Source organism: Homo sapiens, chromosome 6 (assembly GCF_000001405.40).
Source record: "Homo sapiens chromosome 6, GRCh38.p14 Primary Assembly".
In the NCBI taxonomy this organism is placed as follows: domain Eukaryota; kingdom Metazoa; phylum Chordata; class Mammalia; order Primates; family Hominidae; genus Homo; species Homo sapiens.
In genome coordinates, this window is record NC_000006.12 from 13386783 (window position 1) to 13411961 (window position 25179).

General features: G+C 43.4%; 1 protein-coding gene across 3 annotated transcripts in view, besides 2 other annotated features; it reads right to left on the bottom strand.

Moving 5' to 3' along the window:
• The window catches only part of GFOD1 (Gfo/Idh/MocA-like oxidoreductase domain containing 1), a 129771-nt gene that overhangs the window by 28953 nt on the left and 75639 nt on the right, over window positions 1-25179 (bottom strand). Inside the window, exon 1 of one of the 3 annotated variants that reach the window (NM_001242630.2) lies at window positions 21128-21355. The exons of the other annotated variants lie outside the window; for them this stretch is intronic. The gene's annotated coding sequence lies outside the window, so the exon portion shown is untranslated. Of the gene's footprint in view, window positions 1-21127; window positions 21356-25179 lie in introns of those variants that run through there. 3 annotated transcript variants of the gene reach the window in all.
• Window positions 13968-14017: a silencer, noted in NCBI's record as "silent region_16929". NCBI's record gives its function as "represses an Ori minimal core promoter by ATAC-STARR-seq in GM12878 lymphoblastoid cells {active_cell/tissue: GM12878}" and the evidence as "EXISTENCE:reporter gene assay evidence [ECO:0000049][PMID:35858748]".
• Window positions 19171-19371: a silencer, noted in NCBI's record as "peak5665 fragment used in MPRA reporter construct". NCBI's record gives its function as "represses an SCP1 promoter by STARR-seq MPRAs in K562 erythroleukemia cells {active_cell/tissue: K562}" and the evidence as "EXISTENCE:reporter gene assay evidence [ECO:0000049][PMID:32103011]".

Sequence of the window (25179 nt, forward strand, 5' to 3'; positions counted from 1 at the left end):
ACCATTTCCTCATTGGCAAAGCGAGATGGGACTACAACAGCTGTTCTGAAGCGTTTCTGAGGAACACCGGCCCTACAGGGGGTTCAAGATTGTGCCATGCATTAAAAACAGAAGCTAGGGTCAAGAAGTTTGGGAAATGCTGGTGAAAAATGTTAAAAAGCATCAATTCTGCATTCCATCCTCATTACCAGCCTCCATCTCATTTCTCAGAGTCCCAGGATAGATGATTAGACCAACGATATCCTCGCCTAATAGGTGTACTTCTGTGTGCTTCTGTTTTGATAGTTTTTGAAGCAATTTTAAACACTCAGTTACATAGGCATACACACAAGAAATTGAAATTGCAAGCAGCTTTCCCACATGGAAGAGGCTTCTCTAATGCAGCACAGTATTAATACTTCTCAGAGCCATTAATGTTTACATGAGCATCCAAGCAGCAACATAGAGCAATGCCCAGATAATCTGACAACTCCTTTTCATAGTCAAGGGAATGTCGGATCCTGATACCAAAGCCAGGCAGAGACACAACAAAAAAAGAGAATTTTAGGCCAATATCCCTGATGAACATCGATGCAAAAATCCTCAATAAAATACTGGCAAACCGAATCCAGCAGCACATCAAAAAGCTTATCCACCATGATCAAGTCAGCTTCATCCCTCGGATGCAAGGCTGGTTCAACATACGCAAATCAATAAACGTAATCCATCACATAAACAGAACCAACAACAAAAACCACATGATTATCTCAATAGATGCAGAAAAGGCCTTCGACAAAATCCAACAGCCCTTCATGCTAAAAACTCTCAATAAACTGGGTATTGATGGAACGTATCTCAAAATAATAAGAGCTATTTATGACAAACCTACAGCCAATATCATACTGAATGGGCACCAACTGGAAGCATTCCCTTTGAAAACTGGCACAAGACAAGGATGCCCTCTCTCACCACTCCTATTCAACACAGTGTTGGAAGTTCTGGCCAGGGCATCAGGCAAGAAAAAGAAATAAAGGATATTCTATTAGGAAAAGAGGAAGTCAAATTGTCTCTGTTTGCAGATGACATGATTGTATATTTAGAAAACCCCATCATCTCAGCCCCAAATCCCCTTAAGCTGATAGGCAACTTCAGCAAAGTCTCAGGATACAAAATCAATGTGCAAAAATCACAAGCATTCCTATACAACAATAACAGACAGAGAGCTAAATCATGGGGGAACTCCCATTCACAATCACTATGAAGAGAATAAAATACCTAGGAATCCAACTTACAAGGGATGTGAAGGACCTCTTCAAGGAGAACTACAAACCACTGCTCAATGAAATAAAAGAGGATACAAACAAATGGAAGATCATTCCATGCTCATGGTTAGGAAGAATCAATGTTGTGAAAATGGCCATACTGCCCAAGGTAATTTATAGATTCAATGCTATCTCCATCAAGTTACCAGTGACTTTCTTCACAGGATTGGAAAAAACTACTTTAAAGTTCATATGGAACCAAAAAAGAGCCTGCATAGCCAAGACAATCCTAAGCAAAAAGAACAAAGCTGGAGGCATCATGCTACCTGACTTCAAATATACTACAAGTCTACAGTAACCAAAACAGCATGGTATTGGTACCAAAACAGATATATAGACCAATGGAACAGAACAGAGGCCTCAGAAATAACACCACACATCTACGACCATCTGATCTTTGACAAATATGACAAAAACAAGCAATGGGGAAAGAATTCCCTATTTAATAAATGGTGCTGGGAAAACTGGCTAGCCATATGTAGAAAGCTAAAACTGGATCTCTTCCTTACACCTTATGCAAAAATTAACTCAAGATGGATTAAAGACTTAAATGTAAGACCTAAAACCATAAAAACACTAGAAGAAAACCTAGGCAATACCATTCAGGACACAGACATGGGCAAAGACTTCATGACTAAAACACCAAAAGCAACGGCAACAAAAGCCAACATTGACAAATGGGATCTAATTAAACTGAAAAGTTTCTGCACAGCAAAAGAAACTATCATCAGAATGAACAGGCAACCTACAGAATGGGAAAAAATTTTTGAAATCTACCCATCTGACAAAGGGCTAATAGCCAGAAACTACAAAGAACTTAAACAAATTTACAAGAAAAAAACAAACAACCCCATCAAAAAGTGGGCAAAGGACATGAACAGACACTTCTCAAAAGAAGACATTAATGCAGCCAACAGACACATGAAAAAATGCTCATCATCACTGGTCATCAGAGAAATGCAAATCAAAACCACAATGAGATACCATCTCACACCAGTTAGAATGGCGATCATTAAAAAGTCAGGAAACAACAAATGCTGGAGAAGATGTGGAGAAATAGGAAACTTTTACACTGTTGGTGGGAGTGTAAATTAGTTTAACCATTGTGGAAGACAGTGTGGCAATTCATCAAGGATCTAGAGCTAGACATACCATTTGACCCAGTGAACCCATTACTAGGTATATACCCAAAGGATTATAAATCAAGCTACTTTAAAGACACATGCACACATATGTTTATTGCAGTACTATTCACAACAGCAGAGTCTTGGAACCAACCCAAATGTCCATCAATGATAGACTGGATTAAGAAATTGTGGCACATATACACCATGGAATGCTATGCAGCCATAAAAAAGGATGAGTTCATGTCCTTTGCAGGGACATGGATGAAGCTGGAAACCATCATTCTCAGCAAACTATCACAAGGACAGAAAACCAAACACCACATGATCTCACTCATAGGTGGGAGTTGAACAATGAGAACACATGGACACAGAGCAGGGAACATCACACACTGGGGCCTGTTGGGGGGTGCGGGGTGGGGGAAGGGATAGCATTAGGAGAAATACCTAATGTAAATGACAAGTTGATGGGTGCAGCAAACCAACATGGCACATGTATACCTATGTAACAAACCTGCAAGTTCTGTACATGTACCCTAGAACTTAAAGTATAATGATAATAAAAAATCTAACGCCCCTTTCCAAACTACCATATTATTAATATTTTCCAAATACTGACACATACACACCCCTTCTGTTTAGAACTTAATCTTTGCCATTGCCCATGATATGCATTTTTTACTTTCCCATGTTTACCATGATTTACCTCACCAAAAGGACCCCCTGCATTTCCTCTGCTCAGTCATCAAGTTCAAACAAGTTCAGCCCCCCGTGCACATTCCCACCTTCCCTCCTTTGCTACCTGCCTCTCCAGTCCCCATTGTGCCACTCTTCTCCAAGGTCCAACTTAAGTCCCACCACCTCTGGGACATCCCCCCTGAGGACCCCAAGCCTTGTGTATCTCTCCTTCTCTAATACTTGCTGCCTGAGCCAGTTATGACTTTCCGAGCCTTAATCATATGACATCTGGAATTCTTAGGCATATTTTCCTGTGGAATATTGAGGTCCCAACTACTTGTAAACTCTATTACAGTGAGGTAGTTCCTCCAAACCTTCTGGGCTTCCATTTTGTTGTTGTTGTTGTTGTTTATATAAAACAGGGGCTGGGCATGGTGGCTCAGGCCTGTAATCCCAGCACTTTGGGAGGCCGAGGCAGGAGGATCACTTAAACCCAGGAGTTCGAGACCTGCCTGGGCAACATAGTGAGACCCTGTCTCTAAAAAAAATACAAAAAATAGCCGGGTGCTGTGGCATGCACCTGCAGTCCTAGCAACTCTGGAAGTGGAGGTAGGAGGATTCCTTGAACCCAGGAGTTTGAGACCAACCTGGGCAACACAGCGAAACCTCATCTCTACCAAAAAATTAAAAAATTAGCCAGATGTGGTGGTGCATGCCTGTAGTCCCAGTGACTAGGGAGGCTGAGGCAGGAGGATTGCTTCAGCCTAGGAGTCTGAGGCTGTAGTGAGCCATGCTAGCACCACTATACTCCAGCCTGGTGACAGTGAGACCCTGTGAAAAAAAAAAAAAGAAAGAAAGACAGGAAGAGAGAGAGAAAGAGAGAGAGAGAGAGAGAAAGGAAGGAAGGAAGGAAGGAAGGAAGGAAGGAAGGAAGGAAGGAAGGATAATAACAGTATCTACCTCAAAAGGTTGTTATGAGGGCTGCATGAGGCAATGCATGCAAGCTACTTAGCACAGTGCCTGGCACAGGAAGTGCCGAATAAACACTAGCTCAGCGGTTTTTAACCAGCTGCTGAAACCCTTGAGCACAACCAGGAATATCTATTTCTTGGTGTCCCCTACTGGCCCAGCGCAAAGACCATCTCCAATAAACCTCTGTTGCTTGAAGTTAGCGTAACAGGGAAAGGAAGAAAGAAGCCCAGAGAAGGAAAGTTTCACAGGACACTTAATTAAGATTTTCAAGGATATGATTGGTTATTTCACAGTGGATGGTGAACATTCGATTTTTTTGTTTGAGTGAAGGTAGAAGGTGAGAAATGGACTTCAATTCCAGTAACCGTGGCTGGAATTATCTGACGGTGCTAGCTAGCTACCAAAACAGCTATACATTATTTAAGAAATTGGCCATTTGAAACCAGCCTGGCCAACATGGCAAAACCCCGTCTCTATTAAAAATATAAAAATTAGCTGGGCGCAGTGGTGGGCGCCTGTAATCCCAGCTACTCGGGAGGCTGAGGCAGGAGAATCGCTTGAACCTGGGAGGTGAAGGTTGCAGTGAGCTGAGATTGTGCCACTGCACTCTAGCCTGGGCGACAGAGCGAGACTCCATCTCAAAAACAAACAAACAAAAAAAAAAAAAAAAAAAGAAAGAGAAAAGAAATTGGCCAAGGAAAATAATGTACTATTTCGTAGAGTCCATATCAATTGAATAGGTAACAACTCCATTTTTTCTTTTCAAAAAGAGAAAAGAAAGCTTCAGTAGAGAATATTGGGAAAGGATGCCAGCAGGCGAGCCAGACCAAGGGCTGAGTCTGACCTCAAAGCTCTACCACGTATCTGGACAAGTAACTTAATCTCCCTAATCCTCAATTTCCTCATCTGTTAAATGGGGATATAAGGGTATCGACTTCATTGGAGTGGTGAGAACCATCTTGAGAGCTTAGCACAGGGTCTGGGACACAGTCCATGTTCAATCAATTCTACCGATGGTCATTTTGTTGTTGTTACCAATGGCTGTTGTGGGTTATTCTTTAAAACAGTTGATAAACAGTTACTTGTAGTAGACAGTTGGTGAACAGGCCTGCCCATGGCATAGCAGGGAACTACTCAAGGTTCTGAAATTTGTAGACCAGGGACTACTCTGGTAGACACGAGGAGACAGCCCACTCCCTGTTGCCACACTAAGAGCTGCTTCCTAGGCTGGGTGCAGTGGCTCATGCCTGTAATCCCAGCTCAGGAGGCTGAGGTGGACAGATCCCTTGGCCCAGCAGTTCGAGACCAGCCTGGGCGACACAACAAGATGCCACCTCTACTAAAAAAATATGAAAATTAGCCAGGTGTGATGGTGTGCACCTGTGGTCCCAGCTACTTGGGAGGCTGAGACGGGAGGATCACTTGAGCACGGGAGGCAGAGGTTGCACTGCATGCCAGTCTGGGTGACAAAGCCAGACCCTATCTCAAAAAAAAAAAAAAAAAAAAGAAAAGAGAAAAAAGAAAATCTGTTTCCTCTGGTCAGTGTGTTTTGAATAGGTAACGACTCCTCCACCAAAAAATAAAAAGTTGTTCTTAATTACTTTTTTTTTTAATTTAAAAACTCAAGCACTGGTTGGCAGTATTGAAAAGAGTTTTGGTATTTCAAATATTTCAGCAAGTTTTTGTATCACTACACTGGAGAAATGAGAGAGGAGGAGCCTGTCTTCAGCAGACCCTGTTGCTGTACCCTGATGGAGAGAGAGCCTGCAGGAGCTGGCCTGTAGCTGCTGCTGCAGATCCTCTCAGATAACTGACTCTTGTCATTTCATATTGTGAGAGAGGGGGTAAGCAGATGAGCCAGGTAGGTAGAAACAAAGAAGTCAGGAAGATTTCCAGAGAAGAAGAGAAATAAGAAGGGCTAGGTGCAATGACTCACACCTATAATCCCAGCATTTTGAGAGGCCAAGGCGGGAGGATCGCTTGAGGCCAGGAGTTTGAAGCCAGCCTGGGCAACATAGCAAGATGCTGTCCCTACAAAAAAAAAAAAATTAAAAATTAGCCAGGCATGGTGACATGTGCCTGTAACCCCAGCCACTTGGGGGGCTGAGGCAGGAGGATTGCTTGAGCCCAGGACTTCAAGGTTGCAGTGAGCTATGACTGTGCCATTGCATTCCACCCTGGGCAACAGAGTGAGACCTTATCGAAAGAAGAAAAAGGGCTGGGTGTGGTGGCTCATGTCTGTAATCCCAGCACTTTGGGAGGTCAAGGTGGGTGGATCACTTGAGGTCAGGATTTCAAGACCAGCCTGGGCAACATGCTGAAACTCCGTTTCTACTAAAAATACAAAAATTAGCTGGGCGTGCTAGTGCATGCCTGTAATCCCAGCTACTCAGGAGGCTGAGGGAGGAGAATCACTTGAACCCGAGAGGCAGAGGTTGCAGTGGGTGGAGATCATGCCACTGCACTCTAGCTTGAGGAACAGAGCGAGACCCCATCTCAAAAACAACCACCAAAAAAAAAAAAAAAAAAAAAAAAGGAAAGAAGTAAGAAGATGGGACAGAAGCCTTTATAGTCATGCCCCTTCCCCTGCTTGCCATCCTTGTAGAAAGGACCACCGGCCAGTCCAGAGAGACCCTGCAGACACAGCAACAGCGCAGCTCCTGTAGAGCTCTCCATCACGGTACCATAACAGGGGTTCCTGAAAACAGAGTCTCCTCCTCTCATTTCTCAAGTCTGGTGATAACAAAACTTGCTGAACTATTTCTTTTCAATAGTGCCAACCAGTGCTTGAGTTTTTAATTTTTAAAAAAATCATTGATTACAAACAACTGTTTTTTCAGAGAGGGAGTTGTTACCTATTCAGTTGATATGGACTCTACAAAATAGTACATTATTTTCCTTGGCCAATTTCTTTTTTCTTTTCTTTTTTTTTTTTTTTTTGAGACGGAGTTTCGCTCTGCCGCCCAGGCTGGAGTACAGTGGTGCGATCTCGGCTCACTGCAAGCTCCGCCTCCCGGGTTCGGCCACTCTCCTGCCTCAGCCTCCCGAGGAGGTGGGACTACAGGCGCCCACCACCACGCCCGGCTAATTTTTTGTATTTTTAGTAGAGACGGGTTTCACCATGTTAGTCAGGATGGTCTCGATCTCCTGACCTTGTGATCCACCCACCTCGGCCTCCCAAAGTGCTGGGATTACAGGCGTGAGCCACTGTGCCTGGCTCCTTGGCCAATGTCTTAAATAATGTACAGTTATTGTGCAAGCTAGCTAACTGATAAATAGACTCATTTAAAAAGATGTACCTTGTTGTTAGTCACACATTATCTTTTTCATAATTTTATATAAAATTTGTACTTCAGATGAAAAAATGAGAAAGTTCTTCATGTATTATATGACAAGTTAGACAAAAACAGGCAAGATGCAGAAGAATGTGCATGGTATACTATCATCTGTACAGAAAAAAGAATAAATATATATTTGCTTGAATTTATGTAGAATATCTCTCGGAAGGAACACTGATAACTTTGGTCGTCTCTGGGCAGGAGAACGGGTGTCTGGCGGGGGGAAGGATGGAAGGAGCTTTTCAGCATATCTGCTTTTGTACCCTTTGAATTTTTTTTTTTTTTTTTTTTTTTTTTGAGACGAGGTCTTGCTCTTTTGCCCAGGCTGGAGTGCAGTGAGGTGATCATAGCTCACTGCAGCCTCAAACTCCTGGGCCCAAGCAATCCTTCTGCCTCAGCCTCCCAAGTAACTGGGACTACAGGTGCATGCTACCATACTTGGCTAATTTTTTTTTTTGAGACAGTCTCGCTCTGTTGCTCAGGGTGGAGTGCAGTGGCATGATCTCAGCTCACTGCAACCTCCACCTCCTGGGTTCAAGTGATTCTCCTGTCTCAGCTTCCCAAGTAGCTGGGATTACAGGCACGTGCCACCATGCCCGGCTAATTTTTGTATTTTTAGTAGAGATGGCGTTTCACCATATTGGCCAGGCTGGTCTTGAACTCCTGACCTCAACTGATCCACCAGCCTGGGCCTCCCAAAGTGCTGGGATTACAGGCGTGAGCCACCATGCCCGGCCTTTCATACCTGGCTAATTTTTAAAAAATTTTGTAGAGATAGGGTCTCACTGTGTTTCCCTGGCTGGTCTTGAACTCTTGGCCTCAAGGAATCCCCCGACTTTAGCCTCTCAAAGTATTGGGATTACAGGTGTGAGCCACTGTGCCTGGCTAGGTTTCTTTCTTTTTTCTCGTAGAGACAGTGGCTTTGCTATGTTGCCCAGGCTTCTTTTAATTTTGAACAAGGTGACTACATTGCCAGTTCAAAAATACATAGATAAAATTAAAATTTGTATTTAAAAATGAAAAAATTGCCCTCACAATGTCCCTTAGATGGGAAATGGGGGCTAAGGTTTCAGGAGGGAGGGACAGGCTGGATTAAACAAGGAATGGCACATCCATCAGCATGACAGCCATGGCCTTGGCATGGCCATCTCCCAAGAGGCACTGGATCCATGATAAAGAGCCTATAAACCACCCGATAAAACTCATATATCATTCCCTTGCCTCTGATAAGGGGATCTTGTTTTTCCTTTCTTGCAATACAATAGAGATTCATGAATTAGCCAGAAATTCAGATACTGCTGTGTCATGGGCTGGTTGGCTTAGAGGTTGGACAGATGCCAGCCCCTTCCTAGCTGTGTGAGCTCAGATAAGGGAGTTAAGCTCTCGGGGCTCCAGCTTCCTCATCAGTAAAATGTAGACAGCAATATCCTGATGGATCAAATAAAGATAACTTATGTAAAGCAACTGGCTGCCAGTACTCAGTCAGAAATGTTAGCCCTTTTCCACTTGAGATAAAGAGCCCAGAGGCTTTATGAGTTCCCTGGTCTTTGTTCCCACTGAAGAAACTTCCTTGGCATCAACGCTACGGCCACTCCACCGTGCACCAGTTAGTTCCCAGCCATGAGCACAGAAGCTGAGGACCTGACCCTGAGGGTCCCACTCAGGCCGTGGTAGCCCCAGTCCAGGGCACTGAGGCAATTCTAGTCTAGCTGTGCTTTGTTTACTCCGTGGGGGATCTGAGCCTGGGATGAGCAGAGGGCAGGCGGAAGGGGATGCAGGAATGTCATCATTGTATGTCACTATCATCTGCCCTTTCCAAACTTGTAGCTCCGGGTTTTAGAATTTGGAGGCCTGGGGAACGCATTTACATGTTTCATTTGTTTGTTTTTAGTAACCATGTAATCACCCATGTGAACTAAGCTGAGGAACAGTGTCACTTCTGCTTCTACGTAGCTCACTAGAAATCCTCCAAAGAATTATAGCCATCATTTGTTGAGCACCTACTGTTTGCCAGCGACAGTACTAGATGCTTTATCTTCAATCTTCCCTGCAGATCTCTACCTCCCTCTTATGGATCAGAAAATGGAGGCTCTGAAATAGCATATTTAATCTGTGCCAGGTTAACAGAGCTAACAATTGGGTCAGGATTTGAACTTGGCTCTGAGGGGCCATGTGCTTTCCAGTGCACCTCTCAAAGTAAGCGCCACACTGAGTTACAGAGAGCTGTGCCCATAGCATCATCACCTACAGGGCAGGTGGCCTTTTCCTAGGAGTTGGTGCCAAGGATTCTGAGTCCTCCTGTGTGGCAGACTGAATGTCGACATCCCGATCCCCAGAGCCTGTGAATGTTTTCTTATAGAATGGCAAAAGAGACTTTGTAGGTGGGATGAAGTTAAGGATCATGAACTGGGAGGATTATCCTGGATTAGCCAGGTGGGTGGGAGGTAAGCACCACTCTTACAAGAAGGAAGCAGGAGATCAGAATGGGTCATAGGAGCTGTGTCCTGGAAGCAAGAGGTTGGAGGGACTTGAGAAAGGGGTCATGAGCCAAGGTATACAGGCAGCTTCTAGAAGCTGGAAAAGGCAAGGGTATGGATTCTTTCCAGAAGCTTCCAGCAGGAACACGGCCCTGCCAGCACACTGAATTTAGACTTTCTACCTCTACAACTGTGAAGAGAATAATCTGTATTGTTTTAAGCCACTAAATTTGTGACAATTTATTACAACAGCAAGGGAAACTCATATACCTGGGGATGTTTCAAGTCAGAGGAAGGGATATTTACCTCCCAGGAGGAAGGTAGGGCTTCCTGAGTGGTGGTGATCACAGGTGTGCAGTGACCGACACCTTCAGAGCCACAGAGAGGCCAGATGTTGGAAACAGTGCTCAGAGAAGGGACAAGAGCACCCAGAACCTTTGCTTAGGGAGCAGGAGCAGACCCATTGTGGGTGCCCACAGTGGTCTCGAACTCCTGGACTCAAGTGATTGGCCCGCCTCGGCCTCCCAAAGTGCTGGGATTACAGGTGCAAGCCATGGCGCCCAGCAAGACAGATTCTTAATAAAGTAAAACAAAGCCTTACTCTAAAGCCCGGCAATTCCACTCCTAGAAATTTACCAAAGAGAAATGAAAACAAATATCTACACAAAAGATCCAAATGTGAAGCCACCCTCGAAATGAAAAGTGGTGTCCAGCTCAGGCCCCTTGTCTCTCCATCTGAGGACTCGGGCCTGCCGTGAGAAAGTGATCTGCATCTTCACTTTTCACTTCCTCTTTCACCTCCAGGCCCTCTGGCATCTCTGGGGCAGCCTCTGCCATAACCTGGAAGGGTGGAGGCCCAGCCTTGTATCATAAAACCCAGGGGCCGGCCCACTGGGGAGAACAGAAGGCACTGATACCACCTGGGAGGGCAGATATTTGCCTCCACCTGCTTCCACTTTAGAAGCCAATGCAAAACAGGAGAGCAGGGTGGGGAACAGGACAAATATTTGGCCAAGTACCAATTCAGTCTTAGGAATGAGCAGAAGATGGTGATGTCTTGCAGTGGGCATACCCGGAATAACACACAGCCCACGTGGCATTATCCCGGCACATTCTATTACTAACAATTTGAATGGGGGCAGGGGCAAACCTTTGCAAATGAAACATATTTTATATGAAAATAAACACTGTCACATTTGGAACTGAAAACAAATTTTGCATTAATTTTTAAAAGAAGACTTTTCCGACTATGGGCCACATCCCCAGATACTCCCTCTATCTTCCAAAGTATGCATCTTCTTTGCCCTGTCCTTAACTGCTATTGCAGAAGGAAGTCTGAGAAGCTGTGTATAGGGGAAAGTGCAAACCTGGAGCCTCTGCCGCTGGGTTTGACTCCAGGGGCTGCCAGCACGAGCTGTTTCATGTCAGTTACTGTACTATACCGTATATTATGTTATGTACAATGTCAGTTACTGCTCTGAGCCTCGGCTTCCTCATCTTCAAAATGGAAATGAGAACTATTACCTCATAGGGCTGTTCTGAGGATTAAATGAGATCAGGTATGTACATACCTTGCACATTAGTCAGTTATTACTGTTAACAGCATTCACAGACACCTAACTTGGATCTGTTACGAGGCTCACTTCCTTAGCAGGGATCAGGAAAATGCTGATACAAGACCAGGTAGAACCTCCGTTTCGAGTTTATCCTTTTGAAATGTTCCAAATCTTGATTGGTGGTGATTTGAGTGTACGCATTTAGCAAAGCTCATTAAAGTATACACTTACTATCTGCTTATTTCACAGTATGTAAATTTACCTGAATAAAAAATTGTTTCAAAAAAAGTTGCTCCTCTGTCCTTAAACACCTATTTTGTATATTTAACCCAGAATGTGCACCCCAGTGCACAAATGCAGCGTCCAAGGAGCTCACATCGGGTGTTTAGTTTTGATTAATGGGCTTTCCTGGACTCAGAAAGGAGGTAATTTAGGATCCCAGCTGCCTGCAGGCAGAAAGAGGCTCTGTTGAGCCATCAGCACCTCACTGCCGCCTGCTCAGCCTCCCGGGCTTCTCAATAAATGGCGACTCCACTTTCCCTCAGGTCAGGGCTCAGACCAGTCAATGGCCACCACGGGGCAGCATCCCAGAACAGGAGGTAGGGAGGGACATCCAGGGGCTCAGCTGCTTTTGAAAGCTCTCTATTGACAAGGACGCCACAGACACCAGTTGATTTGACTCGTTGTTATTTTTTCTAGCACAAATCATGAGCCAGTTACAGTAACACTGGGCATTTAAAAGGCAGGAGCTAGACAAGCACTTTACTACTTTGGAAAACAGATTTTGTTGTTTTGTTTTGTTCTGAGACAGGGTCTCACTATGTTACCCAGGCTGGAGTGCAGTGGCGCAATCAAAGCTCACTTCAGCCTTAACCTCGCGGACTCAGGTGATTCTCTCACCTCAGCTTCCAGGAGCATACCACCAAGCCTGGATTAATTTTGGTGGTGGGGGAGGGAGGGGTGGCATGTAGGGACAGTTTTTCCATGTTTCCCAGACTGGTCTCGAACTCCTGGACTCAAGTGATTGGCCCGCCTCGGCCTCCCAAAGTTCTGGAATTACAGGTGCAAGCCACGGCACCCAGCAAGACAGATTTTTAATAAAGTAAAACAAAGGCTTACTCTAAAGCCCAGCAATTCCACTCCTAGAAATTTACCAAAGAGAAATGAAAACATATATCTACACAAAAGAACCAAATGTGAATGTTTGTTGCAGTTGTATTTATAATTGCCAAAAACTGGCAATGACTCAACATCCAACAGCAGCTGAATAGATAAATAAATTGTGATACCTTCATAAAATAGAATACTACTCAGCAGTAAAGATAAATGAACTACTGAGACATGCAACAATATGAAGAAATCTCAAAACCGGTATGCGGAGTGAAAAGAAGCCAGAGGCAAAAGGATGCAGACATTCTATTTATCTGCAATTGTAAAACAGGCAAAGTGAGCTATCAGGGCAGAAAGCACAGCAGTGGTTACTGGGGCTGGGACAGGGGCTGAGGCTGGGAGGGTAGAGAATGCACCAAAAAGTCAACTAAGGCAACTATCCGGAATGATTGGAAATTTCCATATCTTGAAATTGCAGTGGCATTGCACAGGTATATACATTTACCAAAACTCACAAAGCTATACATTTAAAATAGGTACATTTTATTGCATGTAAATTACCTCAACAAAAGTAGCAGGGAGAAGGAGAAGGGTGATCTGATGTCTCTGAGGGGTGCTCCCTTTTGGGGAAGCCAATACATCATTTCTTTCTCCTAAGATCCTCCACGTGGTCACACAGTTACTGAGAAGCTGTTTTAATCTATACAACTGTGGGGATTCTGATTTTTTTTTTTTAAGAGGCCTCTGGCCTCCTGATATATTGAAGAGAAAATAAAGACTTCCTGGATGGCAAAAGCTCTAAAATAGACATAGTGCAGGCCAATACACTAAGACATGCAGGACCGGGCAGGGATTCAGCCAGCACACAATGGCAGTCACATTGGGGGTGGGATAAATGTTAAAATATCTATTTATCAGTTAGTAAATAGCCACTGCCCTGAAATGCCTGAATATCTCTCTATTATCCAGGAATCCTCCCCATCTCTCCAAAGCTCAGCAACTTGAAGAGTTGGTGGTTACCACTGCGGAAGCCACCAAGATCCCACTCCAGCTCCTAGGCACCTCTGTGCTGATGGGTTAGTGCCTGGCCATACTCCATAAAAACATATTTCAGATGTCCCATTCCTCCTGTTATGAGGCTCACTTTCTTAGCAGGGATCAGGAAAATGCTGATACAAGACCAGGTAGAACCTCCGTTTCGAGTTTATCCTTTTTGAACAATTTAATTTAGGAGTAATTCGAAGCAGATAGTGATCAAAAGAGCACACATTTCGTCAGAATGAAGTGCTGCTGATGGAAAAATACATAAAAGTGGGAGAATCTTTTTCCACTTTTAAGCTCTGCTTGGACCCTAGTCAGACTCATGTCTTACATGCAGATGAACATTTCAAAGCAAGAGGGAAGAGTCTTGGGAGACCAGAGACAACACCATATCTGGTGACTAGAGAGTAAAGATGGTGAGGGAACACAGGAGGCCCTGAATGACAAACTGTTCTGTGGGACAAGGGAGACTGGTTCTTCACCTATTAAAGAAAGAGGCACGAGAGTCCTCTCCACCATTCTTTATCACTATTAGTCATTGACTCTCAAGTACAGGGGGTGGGGACAGGAAACAATGATGTTCTGTCAATATCCTCAGCAAGGATTACTTCCCCTCAACAGGTGCCTGGAGAGCCAACAACAGCATCACATACTTGTGAAGACCATAAGTCTATGTTTCAAATTCCTTTCTATAAAGTGAGGTGCGAGAGAGCCGAGACCCATTTAAGGAGGATGTCTGACTATAGATGTTAGCCTGTGTGAGGTGACAGACTTATTGCACTGGAATAATATGAATTTAAACCCTTAAAGCACAAAAAGGAAAAAAGAGGGACTCTTAGAAAACGGAGGAGACTTGAAAGGTCTAATTGCCAGGCATAAGGCGTGGGCCTGTTTGGATCCCTATTCCAAAAGGCCAACCATGAGACGACATTTTATAGATAATCCAGGATATCTGAATCTGAGCCGTGTAGCAGATGAGAGCAGGGAATCCTTGTTCATTGTCATGGGTCCAGTAGTGGAAGGGAAGGGAAAGGGAAAAAGGGAAAGGGAAGGAACCAGTCCTTATTAGTTAGAGATGCTAGCTATGGTATTTACAAATGGAATGTCATACAAGTATTTATGGATAATGGGGCACTATTTAATTTAAAATGTTGCAGAAAAATGAACAATCTGAATATGAATTAAGAAAACAAGTCCATTTACAACAGTATCAAACAGAATACTTAGAAATACATTTAAGAAGTACAAAATATGTACTATGAAAATTAAAAAATCTATTTGAAAAAAATCAAAGAAGATCTTAATCACTGGAATGACATCCTGCGTCCATGGATCAGAAAACCTAATATTGATAAGACAGTAATATTATCCAAATTGATCTACAGAGTCAAAACAATTGCTATCAAAATTCCAGTTGCTTTCTATGTAGAAATTCACAAGCTGGTCCTACAATTCACATGAAAATGCTAGGATCCCAGAATAGCAAATGTTATCTTGAAAGAATATCCTCTTTAAAAGTAGTAGGAAAACTACTTTAGCACTTCATGATTTCAAAACTTACCTCAAAGCTACAGTAATCATGATGGTGTACTACTGGCATAAGGATGAACAAATAGATCAATGAGAAGAATTAATTAAGAGTTCAGAAATAAATTTTATCTTACGATCAACAGAGTTTCAACAAAAGTGCCAAAAAATTCAATGGGAAAAGAATCGTCTTTTTAACAAGTGGTGCTAGAACAACTGGCTATCCACATGCACAAAAATGAAGTTGGAGGCCTATCTCATGTCACATGCAAAAATTTACTCAATATGGATCAAAGCCTAAATGTAAAAGCTAAAACTATAAAACTCTCCAAAGGAAACACAGGAGTAAAACTTTGACATCTCGGGTTTAGGCAAAGCCTTCTCTAGATATAATACCAAAAGACAAGTGACTATATATAACATATATAACTTGAACTTCATCGAAACAAAAAACTGTACTTTAAAGGACATCATCAAGATATAAAACCACCGACTGAATGGTAGAATATATTTGCCAGTCACAGATGTGAGAAGAAAAAGGGTATCTATAACATGTAAATAACTTAACAATTCAGTAAGAAGAAGACAACTCAAATAAAAAATGAGAAAGGATCTAAATGGACATTTCTCCAAAGAGGGCATATAAATGGCCAATAAACACATGAAAAGATGCTCAACATCATCAGTCTTTAGGGAAATGCAAATCTAAACCACAATAAGATGCTACTTTATGCCCATTAGGATGACTATAATAAAAAAGACAGAAAATAACAAGTGTTGGCATGGTTGTAGAATAATTGGAACCCTCAAACATTGCTCGTAAGAATGTACAATGGTGTAGCCACTTTGAAAAGCATCCTGGCAACTCCTCAAAAAGTTAATCATAGAGTGACCATATGACCCAGCAATTCCAATCCTAGGTATATAGCCAAAAGAAATGAAGAAAGGTACTCAAACAAATACTTGTACATAAATATTCATAGTAGCACTGTTCACCATAGCCAAAAGGTGGAAACAATCCAAATGTCCATCAACCGATGAATGAATAAACAAAAGGTGGTACAGTCATGCATCATTTTCTCATGGGAATATGTTCTGAGAAATGCATCATTAGGCGATTTTGCTGTGCAAACATTATACAGTGTACTTACACAAACCTAAATGGTAGGGTTTTTTTGTTTTGTTGTGTGTGTGTGTGTGTGGTTTTTTTTTTTTTTTTGGTATTTTTTGTTTTTTTGAGACGGAGTCTCGCTCTGTCGCCCAGGCTGGAGTACAGTGGTGCGAACTCAGCTCACTGCAACCTCTACCTCCTGGGTTCAAGTGATTCTCCCGCCTCAGCCTCCTGAGTAGCTGGGATTACAGGCATGCACCACCATGCCCGGCTAATTTTTGTATTTTTAGTAGAGACGGGGTTTTGCCATGTTGGCCAGGCTGGTCTCAAACTCCTGACCTCAGGTGATCCGCCTGCCTCGGCCTCCCAAAGTGCTAGGATTACAGGCGTGAGCCACCGTGCCCAGCCTGATGATAGGTTTTTATGTGCTTACCATACACCTAGGCTATATGGTACAACCTATTGCTCCTAGGCTACAAAGCTGTATAGCATGTTATTGCACTAAATACTGTAGGCAATTGTAACACAGGGGTAAGTACTTGTGTATCTGTAAAAATGTACAGTAAAAATTATAATACTATGAGACCACCATTATATATGTGGTCCATCATTAACTGAAACATTGTTATTTGTTACAAGACTGTATAGCCATATGATGAAATATATTCAGCCATAAAAGGAATGAAGTGCTGATATATGCTGCAACATGGATGAACCTTGAAAATATTATGACATGTGAAAGAAGTCTCAGAAGAGACCACTTATTTTATGGTTTCATTTATATAAAATCTCCAGAAAAGGCAAATCTATAGAAACAGAAAAAATAGTGGTTGCCTAAGGTTGCAGTGGAAGGATGTTGGAAGAGTGATTACTAATGGATATATGGTTTATTTCTGGGGTGATGAAATGTTCTAAAATTGATTATGGAGATGGTTGTACAACTCTGTGAATACATGGCATTTTTGGCAGGAAAAAAGTGGGAAGTTATAGATGAAATATGAATAGCAAAATGTTTGAATGTTTATATATTTTTAAAAGTTAAAAAGTAAACAACGATAGTTTGAAATCAGCCTAATTTTAAATGAAACTTGGAATACATTTCTGTGATGTCTAAAATATTGACTATCATTTTAATGCACATAGAAAATTACTGGAAAAGACTGTGCAAAATATTCTGAGATGGGGAACCATTTAAGGGATCCCAAGGGTCCAAGTCTGATCCAGGCTCAGCCTTTTCTTGCACCAGGAAGTCACAAAGCCATGGACTCATCAAGTAGTCATTTAGTCCAGCCCCTTCTTAGAACTGAGGGAAACTGCAGCCAGCCAGGAAGACCGAGGAACTTGCCTAAGCTTCCTGCCTTTCATGAACTTCTTTTAAGGATCAAATGAGACAATGTGTATGATGAAGTTTTATAAATCCTTTGGATTAGAACTGTAGTATGTGAAACACGTGAGCCTGAACCTCAGTTCTGCTGCTTTTTTGCTACAGCCAAGGGGGTGGCTTAATTTCCTTCAGCCTCAATAAAAATGAAGATACCACCAGCCTCAAAAGGGTGTTACAAGAACTAAATGAGGCAACACTATCCCAGCATCTCCCAGAACAGGAACTCGGTATGAGCTAACTGTTAGCCACGTTCTTAGCAAAAGAACATGTGAACTACACAGTGGAGGCTGCATGCACACTTGGGTGCAAAATTTAAAGTAATGTCATTTCAAGATGTAAAGAGGAAATTCTCATTTACAAAACCTGGTTGGAGTTGTCTGCATGAGTAATTTTCATGGGATCGGCCATGTAAAATAGTTTGTTTTTAAAGGTTCCAAGAATAACATGCTAGAGTCCTCTGTGCCAAATTCCACCTTTGGGTCAAATTTCACCATTGCTTTATGAGGCACCCAATGTTTAAAAATTTTTTAATTTAAATGTCTCTATGTAGGGCACCTCTCTCCCCAGTGCACCACAAGCCCCACCATTCTCTGTTGTCTATCCTCAACCCCATCTCACCTTACATCAGTACCTGGTCCCTGAAGGTGATTAAGTTTCTAGACTCTATCTCAAATGCTAGGAAATCTCTTTGTTGGCTATCCAACTTTCCTCTTATAAAGGTTTGCAGAGCCTCTTCTTTTCTTTTGAAGTCTTCTCAAGCTTTAGAAGGTTTTTAAAAGTTCATTTAAATATTTTCAATAACTTAAAAAAAGTGCTACAGTATTTTAAAAGATAACATAGACCAGTACTTTCCCAATAGGAGAAAAATACAAGCTGCAAATGCAAGCCACTTGCATAGTTCTACATTTTCTAATAGCTACGTTAATTAAGGGGAAAAAACAGGTGGAATTAATTTTAATAATATATTTTCCTTAACACAATATATCCAAAATTTTATTAACATGTAATCAGTATAAACATTTCTCTTTCAAACGAAGTATTTGAAACCCAGTGTATGTTTTATATTTACAGCACATCTTAATTTGGACTGGCTCAAGTGCTGATAGCTAGCAAGTGGCTAGTGACTCTGAATGGGACAGCACAGATTGAGATGACCAGTTATAAATCATCCAATATGAGGCCTTGAAAGAAGATGTGAGGTTACATAGGAAAAGAACCTCTACATTAGAAAATATGTAAGTGGCAGATTCCAGGGTTTTGGTGGTCTTGCTGGTGACCGTGGCTATAGTAAAGTTTGAGATGGAATGAAACTTAGATCATATTATTCCAGCATACAGGAGGAGGGGAGGACATTCACAGCTTCTATTTTTGCTGCTGTTTCTCCTTCTGTCTTTCCCACTATATGTGTATTGTGGGTGGGATAGGGCAGAGTTGAAGATAAAGTGAACAAAGAAGCATAAAAGACGGGATTGAGACATTGCCACTCCTGAGAGATACTCGCAAGCCCCAGCCTCAACTCATCAGTGGCTTGAAGGGTTCCAGGGCCAGGAGGAGCCTGGGGACATTGGCAAGGATCTTCCTTTCACTCTTGGCCTCCCCACCCCAACTTCTGAGGCAGCATCCTCTATCTCTAAAGAACAGGCCTCCCGCCTCTGCTATTCAGGGAATATTATGTTCTCCCAACTGTTATATTTTGGGTCCTTTTGGCAGGAGGTGGAGATGGGCAGGGGTGGAAAGAACCCACAAATGTTCTCGGAACAAGGAACCAGTAAAGTACAGACATCTGGCCCCAGGATTTTGCTGGCTCCAGGGACGTCACTATAAACCCACTAACACTAATTGCTTTCACGTCTGCTCCCATTTCTAGTGGAAATAAAATGCCTCTCTGGCTAATGGAAAATGAAACGCCGTTTGCTGTTTGTTTACCACATTACATAAGAGCTTTCTGTAGCACCCCTCCTCCCCTGGCCCCTGCCCTGAAACCCTCTGAAGGACAGCTTGTGCAAAGCCTGCAAGCGCTCTACAAATACAAGGTAACACGGCTTCAGAAAGGGCGCCTGTATTCACGTTAGGACTGTACAACTCCTTAATCCTAAACAGACGGGAGGGGAGGGCAGAAAGAAGAGAGCGAGAGCACAATCGAGAGTGAGAAGAGAAGAATTCTATTTGCTTTAAATTCATGCTTCCAGGAATATTTTCCATCTCCTTACTTGATGCTAAGTGCAAAGATCTAGAGTAGCTCATCAAACCTCAACTTCTAAATTCAATTTCCCTGACAAAGAAGGGGAAATAAAGGTCCAGCTGAAACTGGGGTTTAAGAAAGTGGACTCTCATCCATTGGGCCTTTAAAGTGTCTGACAGTAGGTGATTGGGAGGCCTTCTTTGACAGTCCTGTTCTGGTTGGCTGCCTGTGTTTATCCCCATGTTGGCATTTTGTACACAGTGTGATAGCAAATATAAAGACCTCTGGCTGTCCTTCCTCTGCCCTTGTCAGTTCTCTCCTTCTCCAGCAGCAGAACCACTCATTTCAGCTGGACCCATGGTTGCCAAGAATAAAAAACTCCATTTCCCAGTCTCCCTTGCCATTAAGTGTGGCCATGTGACTAAGTTCTGGCCAATGGGATGTGAATGGAAGAGCTGTGTAAACTTTCCATGGTGCACCCTCCATTTCCCTTTTCCTGTGTGACAAGCATAAGGCTATATTGGGCCATGAAGGCAAAGACAATACTCTAGGGATGGTGGCGCCAAGACAGAGGATCCTGGATCCCAAACACTATAGAGCTGCCAGACTGCTTACAGAGCGACTGCTATGGGAGGAAGAACTTTTTATTTTGGATCTGGGTTACTGCAGCTGAAATTGTATGCTTGGGATCTATTTGCTGAAGAGAAGAAAGGAGGATACCCTTAAAATAGATGACCCCACCATTTGGCTTTCACATTGAAAAGTCAGCCTCAGCTCTTCCTACTTTTCTTATTGATGAAGAATCTTACACCCCTACCAGCTCCCGGGCCTCAAAGACTACATCTTCCTCCTTGCCTTTCTTTGTCCCCATTTTCTTCTGTATGCTGCCTACTCCCAGGCTGGCACAGAGCAGCACTCCTTGACCAGAATGGCCCAGACAGTTGGAATAAAGGATGACATTAAAATAGAGCCCTTTGTTATGTCTCTAGGGAGTGTCTTCAAAACACCCTGTTACAATGGCCGAGAAAATTGCCTGAGATGGCCAAGTTCAAAGGGCTTATCTTTGAATCAAAAGCGGGAATGGGGTTTTGTGCAAATGTCATCTTCTGCCCAGTTCTGAGTTTCTATGTAGCAAACTTGGAGTAAAGTTAAGATCAAATGGGGCTCAGAGGATCAGCTATTACAATAGGCCTCAGTCAGATGGCTTTTCTTGAGCCACTGGATTTCATCAGAAGAGAATTGCAAACACAAACCCTTTGTTTAATGTAGACGGTGATGAAATAAATAGGGTGACTCCATCTCAACCACCCTCCTCCCTGTACTCACCCAACCAACTGACTCTCGGAGATTGCCCAACCAAAGAGCAGAAGTTCACAGAATATCTCTTCTTGGGTCAGCACCCAAAGGTGGGAGCACTTGGCTTTGCTCCCAGAAAACTATAATCTGGTGAAGGCATGTGAGAAATGTGCCCTTCCCTACTGCATACTGCAGAAGAACGTGGCTGAGAGCCCGGCCACGGTAGCATCTATCCTCCACATAGAGTCTTTATGAAGTGACACCTTCTCTCTCCAGCTCAGGCAATAGCCTCTGCCTGATCAGAACACAATTGAATGTGGCCTTGGGCCAGACTATGGCAGGCAAAGGTTAATTTCCTTTCCTTCTTAGAGCAGGACCTAGTTCCAATTGCCTCGCTTTGCCTAACTCAATTTTCCGCACAATATAGCAAGCTCCTTATCTTGGGCAGTGAGGTAGAAGCTTCCCCTTGTTCCTCCTTATGGTTTCCAGTGGAACTTTGAGGAGGGGCACATTTTGCTTAAAAAACAGCATTAATTGTGAAGCGAGAATAGCTTTTCTACTGATGGCTGCTTTTCTAGCAAAAATGTCTGCCTGCAAGGACCTCCCCATGTGACCTGGCAGGGAGAAAAGATAATGAGGAGCTCAGGTGAACAACTCAGGACCTGAGGAAAGTAGGCCAGTGAGTCAAAATAAAATCCAGCCAGGAGCAAACAGAAGAGTTAATGAACAGGAGATCACCTGATGCCCGGGCCCCTCTACCTTTAGCGATTTCATGTCCGAAGGTACTCTGTGCTCACCCGGGTAACACAGCTTTGTTAAGAGAATAGTCAGGCTGATAGATTTGTTCACTTCTATAGTCGCTTATCTTGGAATTACTCCATTGTTTTTAGAAAAATGACAGTTCATTTTCTAAAAATTAACACAGGCCAGTGTGGTGGCTCACGCCTGTAATCCCAGCACTTTGGGAGGTGGAGGTGGGTGGATCACTTTGAGGTCAGGAGTTTGATACCAGCCTGGCTAACATGGTGAAACCCCCTCTCTACTAAAAATACAAAATTAGCCAGGTATGGTGGCATGTGCCTGTAATCCCAAGTACTTGCAAGGCTGAGGCAGGACAATTGCTTGAACCAGGGAGGTGGAGGTTGCAGTGAGCTGAGATTGTGCCATTGCCCTCCAGCCTGGGTGACAGAGTGAGACTCCATCAGAAAGGAAAGAAAGAAAGAAAGAAAGAAAGAAAGAAAGAAAGAAAGAAAGAAAGAAAGAAAGAAAGAGAGGAAAGAAAGAAAGGAAAGAGAGAGAGAGAGAGAAAGAAAGAAAGAAAGAGAAAGAAGGAAAGAGAGAGAGAGGAAGGAAGGAAGGAGAGAAAGAGAGAAAGAGAGAGAGAGAGGGAAAGATAGAGAGACAGAGAGGAAGGAAGGAAGAAAGGAAGGAAGGAAGAAAGGAAGGAAGGAGAGAAAGAGAGAGAGAGAAAGAGAGAAAGAGACAGAGGAAGGAAGGAAGGAAGGAAGGAAGGAAAAAAACAATGAAATAAAAGAGACAAATCCTAAGAAGAAAATGAAATGCCTCCAAACCCACCATCCGTCAAGTAACCATCATGAGATTAGGGGACTGCAATTTTAGTTACGTCTTTATGCACAGAGAGATAGTAGGAAGGATAGATTTACAAGCAGAAATAATTTAAAGGGAGTATAACACATAGTTTATTTAATAAAGAGGATTCCACTATTTGAACTTAACAGATAAGAAAGAAACTGAATTGCAGCCGGGCACGGTGGCTCACGCCTGTAATCCCAACACTTTGGAAGCCCGAGATGGGCAGATCACGAGGTTGGGAGATTGAGACCATCCTAGCTAACACAGTGAAACCCCGTCTCTACTAAAAATACAAAAAAATTAGCCAGGCATGGTGGCACACACCTGTAGTCCCAGCTACTCCAGGAGGCTGAGGCAGGAGAATGGTGTAAACCCGGGAGGCAGAGGTTGCAGTGAGCCAAGATCGTGCCACTGCACTCTAGCCTGGGCGACAGAGCGGGGCTCCATTTCAAAAAAAAAAAAAAAAAAGAAAGAAAGAAACTGAATTGAAATAGGATCTGCTACTGAATTTCTAAAATGATACGGATTTTTAGTTTTTTTTTTTTTTTTTTTTAGATTGGCAGGGTAAACCTCTAAGGCCAACTGAGGTAAACATCATCAGAAAAGCAGGTAACATAGGGAAATAAAGCCCCAGATGATGCACAAATGTTTTGTTTGGCACTCTGGGAAGATGCCTTAACTTCAGATAAATATAGCAAGCTACTCTGGAATTTGTGTTCTGGGAGCCCTGGCTCTGGCAATGCAGCTGGCTTGCTCCTGTGTTTGGATGGGTTATCTCATCTTTATAGGAAGGAGGCTCTACCTAATGCTTGGTAAATCCTGACAACAACAATGAAAGTTGGAAAGAAGGTTTGGGAGGCCAAGATGGGTGGATCAGCTGAGGTCAGGTGTTTGAGACCAGACTAACCAACATAACGAAACCCCATCTCTACTAAAAATACAAAATTAGCTGGGGGTGGTGGTGCATGCCTGTAATCGCAGCTACTCGGGAGGTTGAGGCAAAAGAATTGCTTGAACCCAGGAGGCAGAGGTTGCAGTGAGCTTAGATAGCATCATTGCACTCCAGCCTGGGCAACAAGAGCAAAACTCTGTCAAAGAAAGAAAGGAGAGAGAGAGAGAGAGAGAGAGAGAGAGAGAGAGAGGAAGGAAGAAAGGAAGAAAGAAAGAAAGGAGGAAAGGAAGAGAGGAAGAAAGGTGGAAAGAAGGGGCATTAATTACCCAATATGCTGGCAGAAAAAAGTAGAGAACAATTTGCAAGCTCAGAGTCAGTGTCATGGGATCCCAGGACAGACCAATATAGGTCTGACCAATTTGGATGGAAGGAGAAAAAGTGAGGAGAAAGAGGAAGAAGGAGGGTAGAGGAGAGAGACCTGACTCCCTACACTAACGCTGAGAATCAACACCTTACCCCTCACCCTCTGCCTCAGCACAGAAGGGCCCCATAATTACTCACACAGCAATACAGAGTTTAATTTCACGGATGCAGAAGGAAAGCTTTCAAAGTAACAAGGAAGCCTCACATAATTGTATGGTAAACCTGAGCTTTCACCAGGAGGAGCCCAGCTCCTGCAAACAGCCAGCATGTATGCAGACCTTTGAGTATGCTGTCATTGCGTTATAGGACAAATGAGACTGTCAGCAGGAATGGTGAAAAACAGAAGGAAGACTCCAGGCAAAGGGACACCTTGAAACACAGAGGAGAACAGAGAAGCCAGCTGTGAAGACAGAGGGCTCCAAACCCTGACTGAATCCAACCCGTGGCTCCAGGGCCTGCCTCCTTCATTACCAAGTGAGGATCCACAAAGACATCGGCTGTCTATTTTCTTTTCTTTTTTTTGAGACAGAGTCTCACTCTGTCAGCCAGGCTGGAGTGCAGTGGCGCGATACCGGCTCACAGCAACCTTTACCTCCTGTGTTCAAGTGATTCTCCTGCCTCAGCCTCCCGAGTAGCTGGGATTACAGGTGCATGCCACCATGCCTGGCTAATTTTTGTATTTTTAGTAGAGTCGGGGTTTCACCATGTTAGCCAGGCTGGTCTCGATCTCCTGACCTCAAGTGATCCACCTGCCTCAGCCTCCCAAAATGCTGGAATTACAGGCTTGAGCCACCGCGCCTGGCCCTCAGCTGCCCATTTTCATCCAGCTGTACCCTGCAGCCCGGTTTCCTCAGACGCAGTAACACTGTGTCACCAGAAAGGCCTCCTTCCTGTACAGTGGCTGCACTGATGAAGGCCTGCCATCCAGTCTGTGATAGGAGCCAGTCAGAGGCGGGAAGGAGCACCTTAACTTTTCCTTCTCTTCAAGGAATTAGGATGATCCCTTTCTACAACCCGCTCATTGACAGCATTTCCAGTGAGAAGCCCAAGGAAAGCCTTTACTTCAGAGACCAGAGCAGGAAGCCCAGAGCACGAGCTTTGGAATGGGACAGCCTGGTTCAACTTCTTGCTCTGCCTCTTTTTAGCTGTTGCGGTCAAATTACTCAGCGTCTTT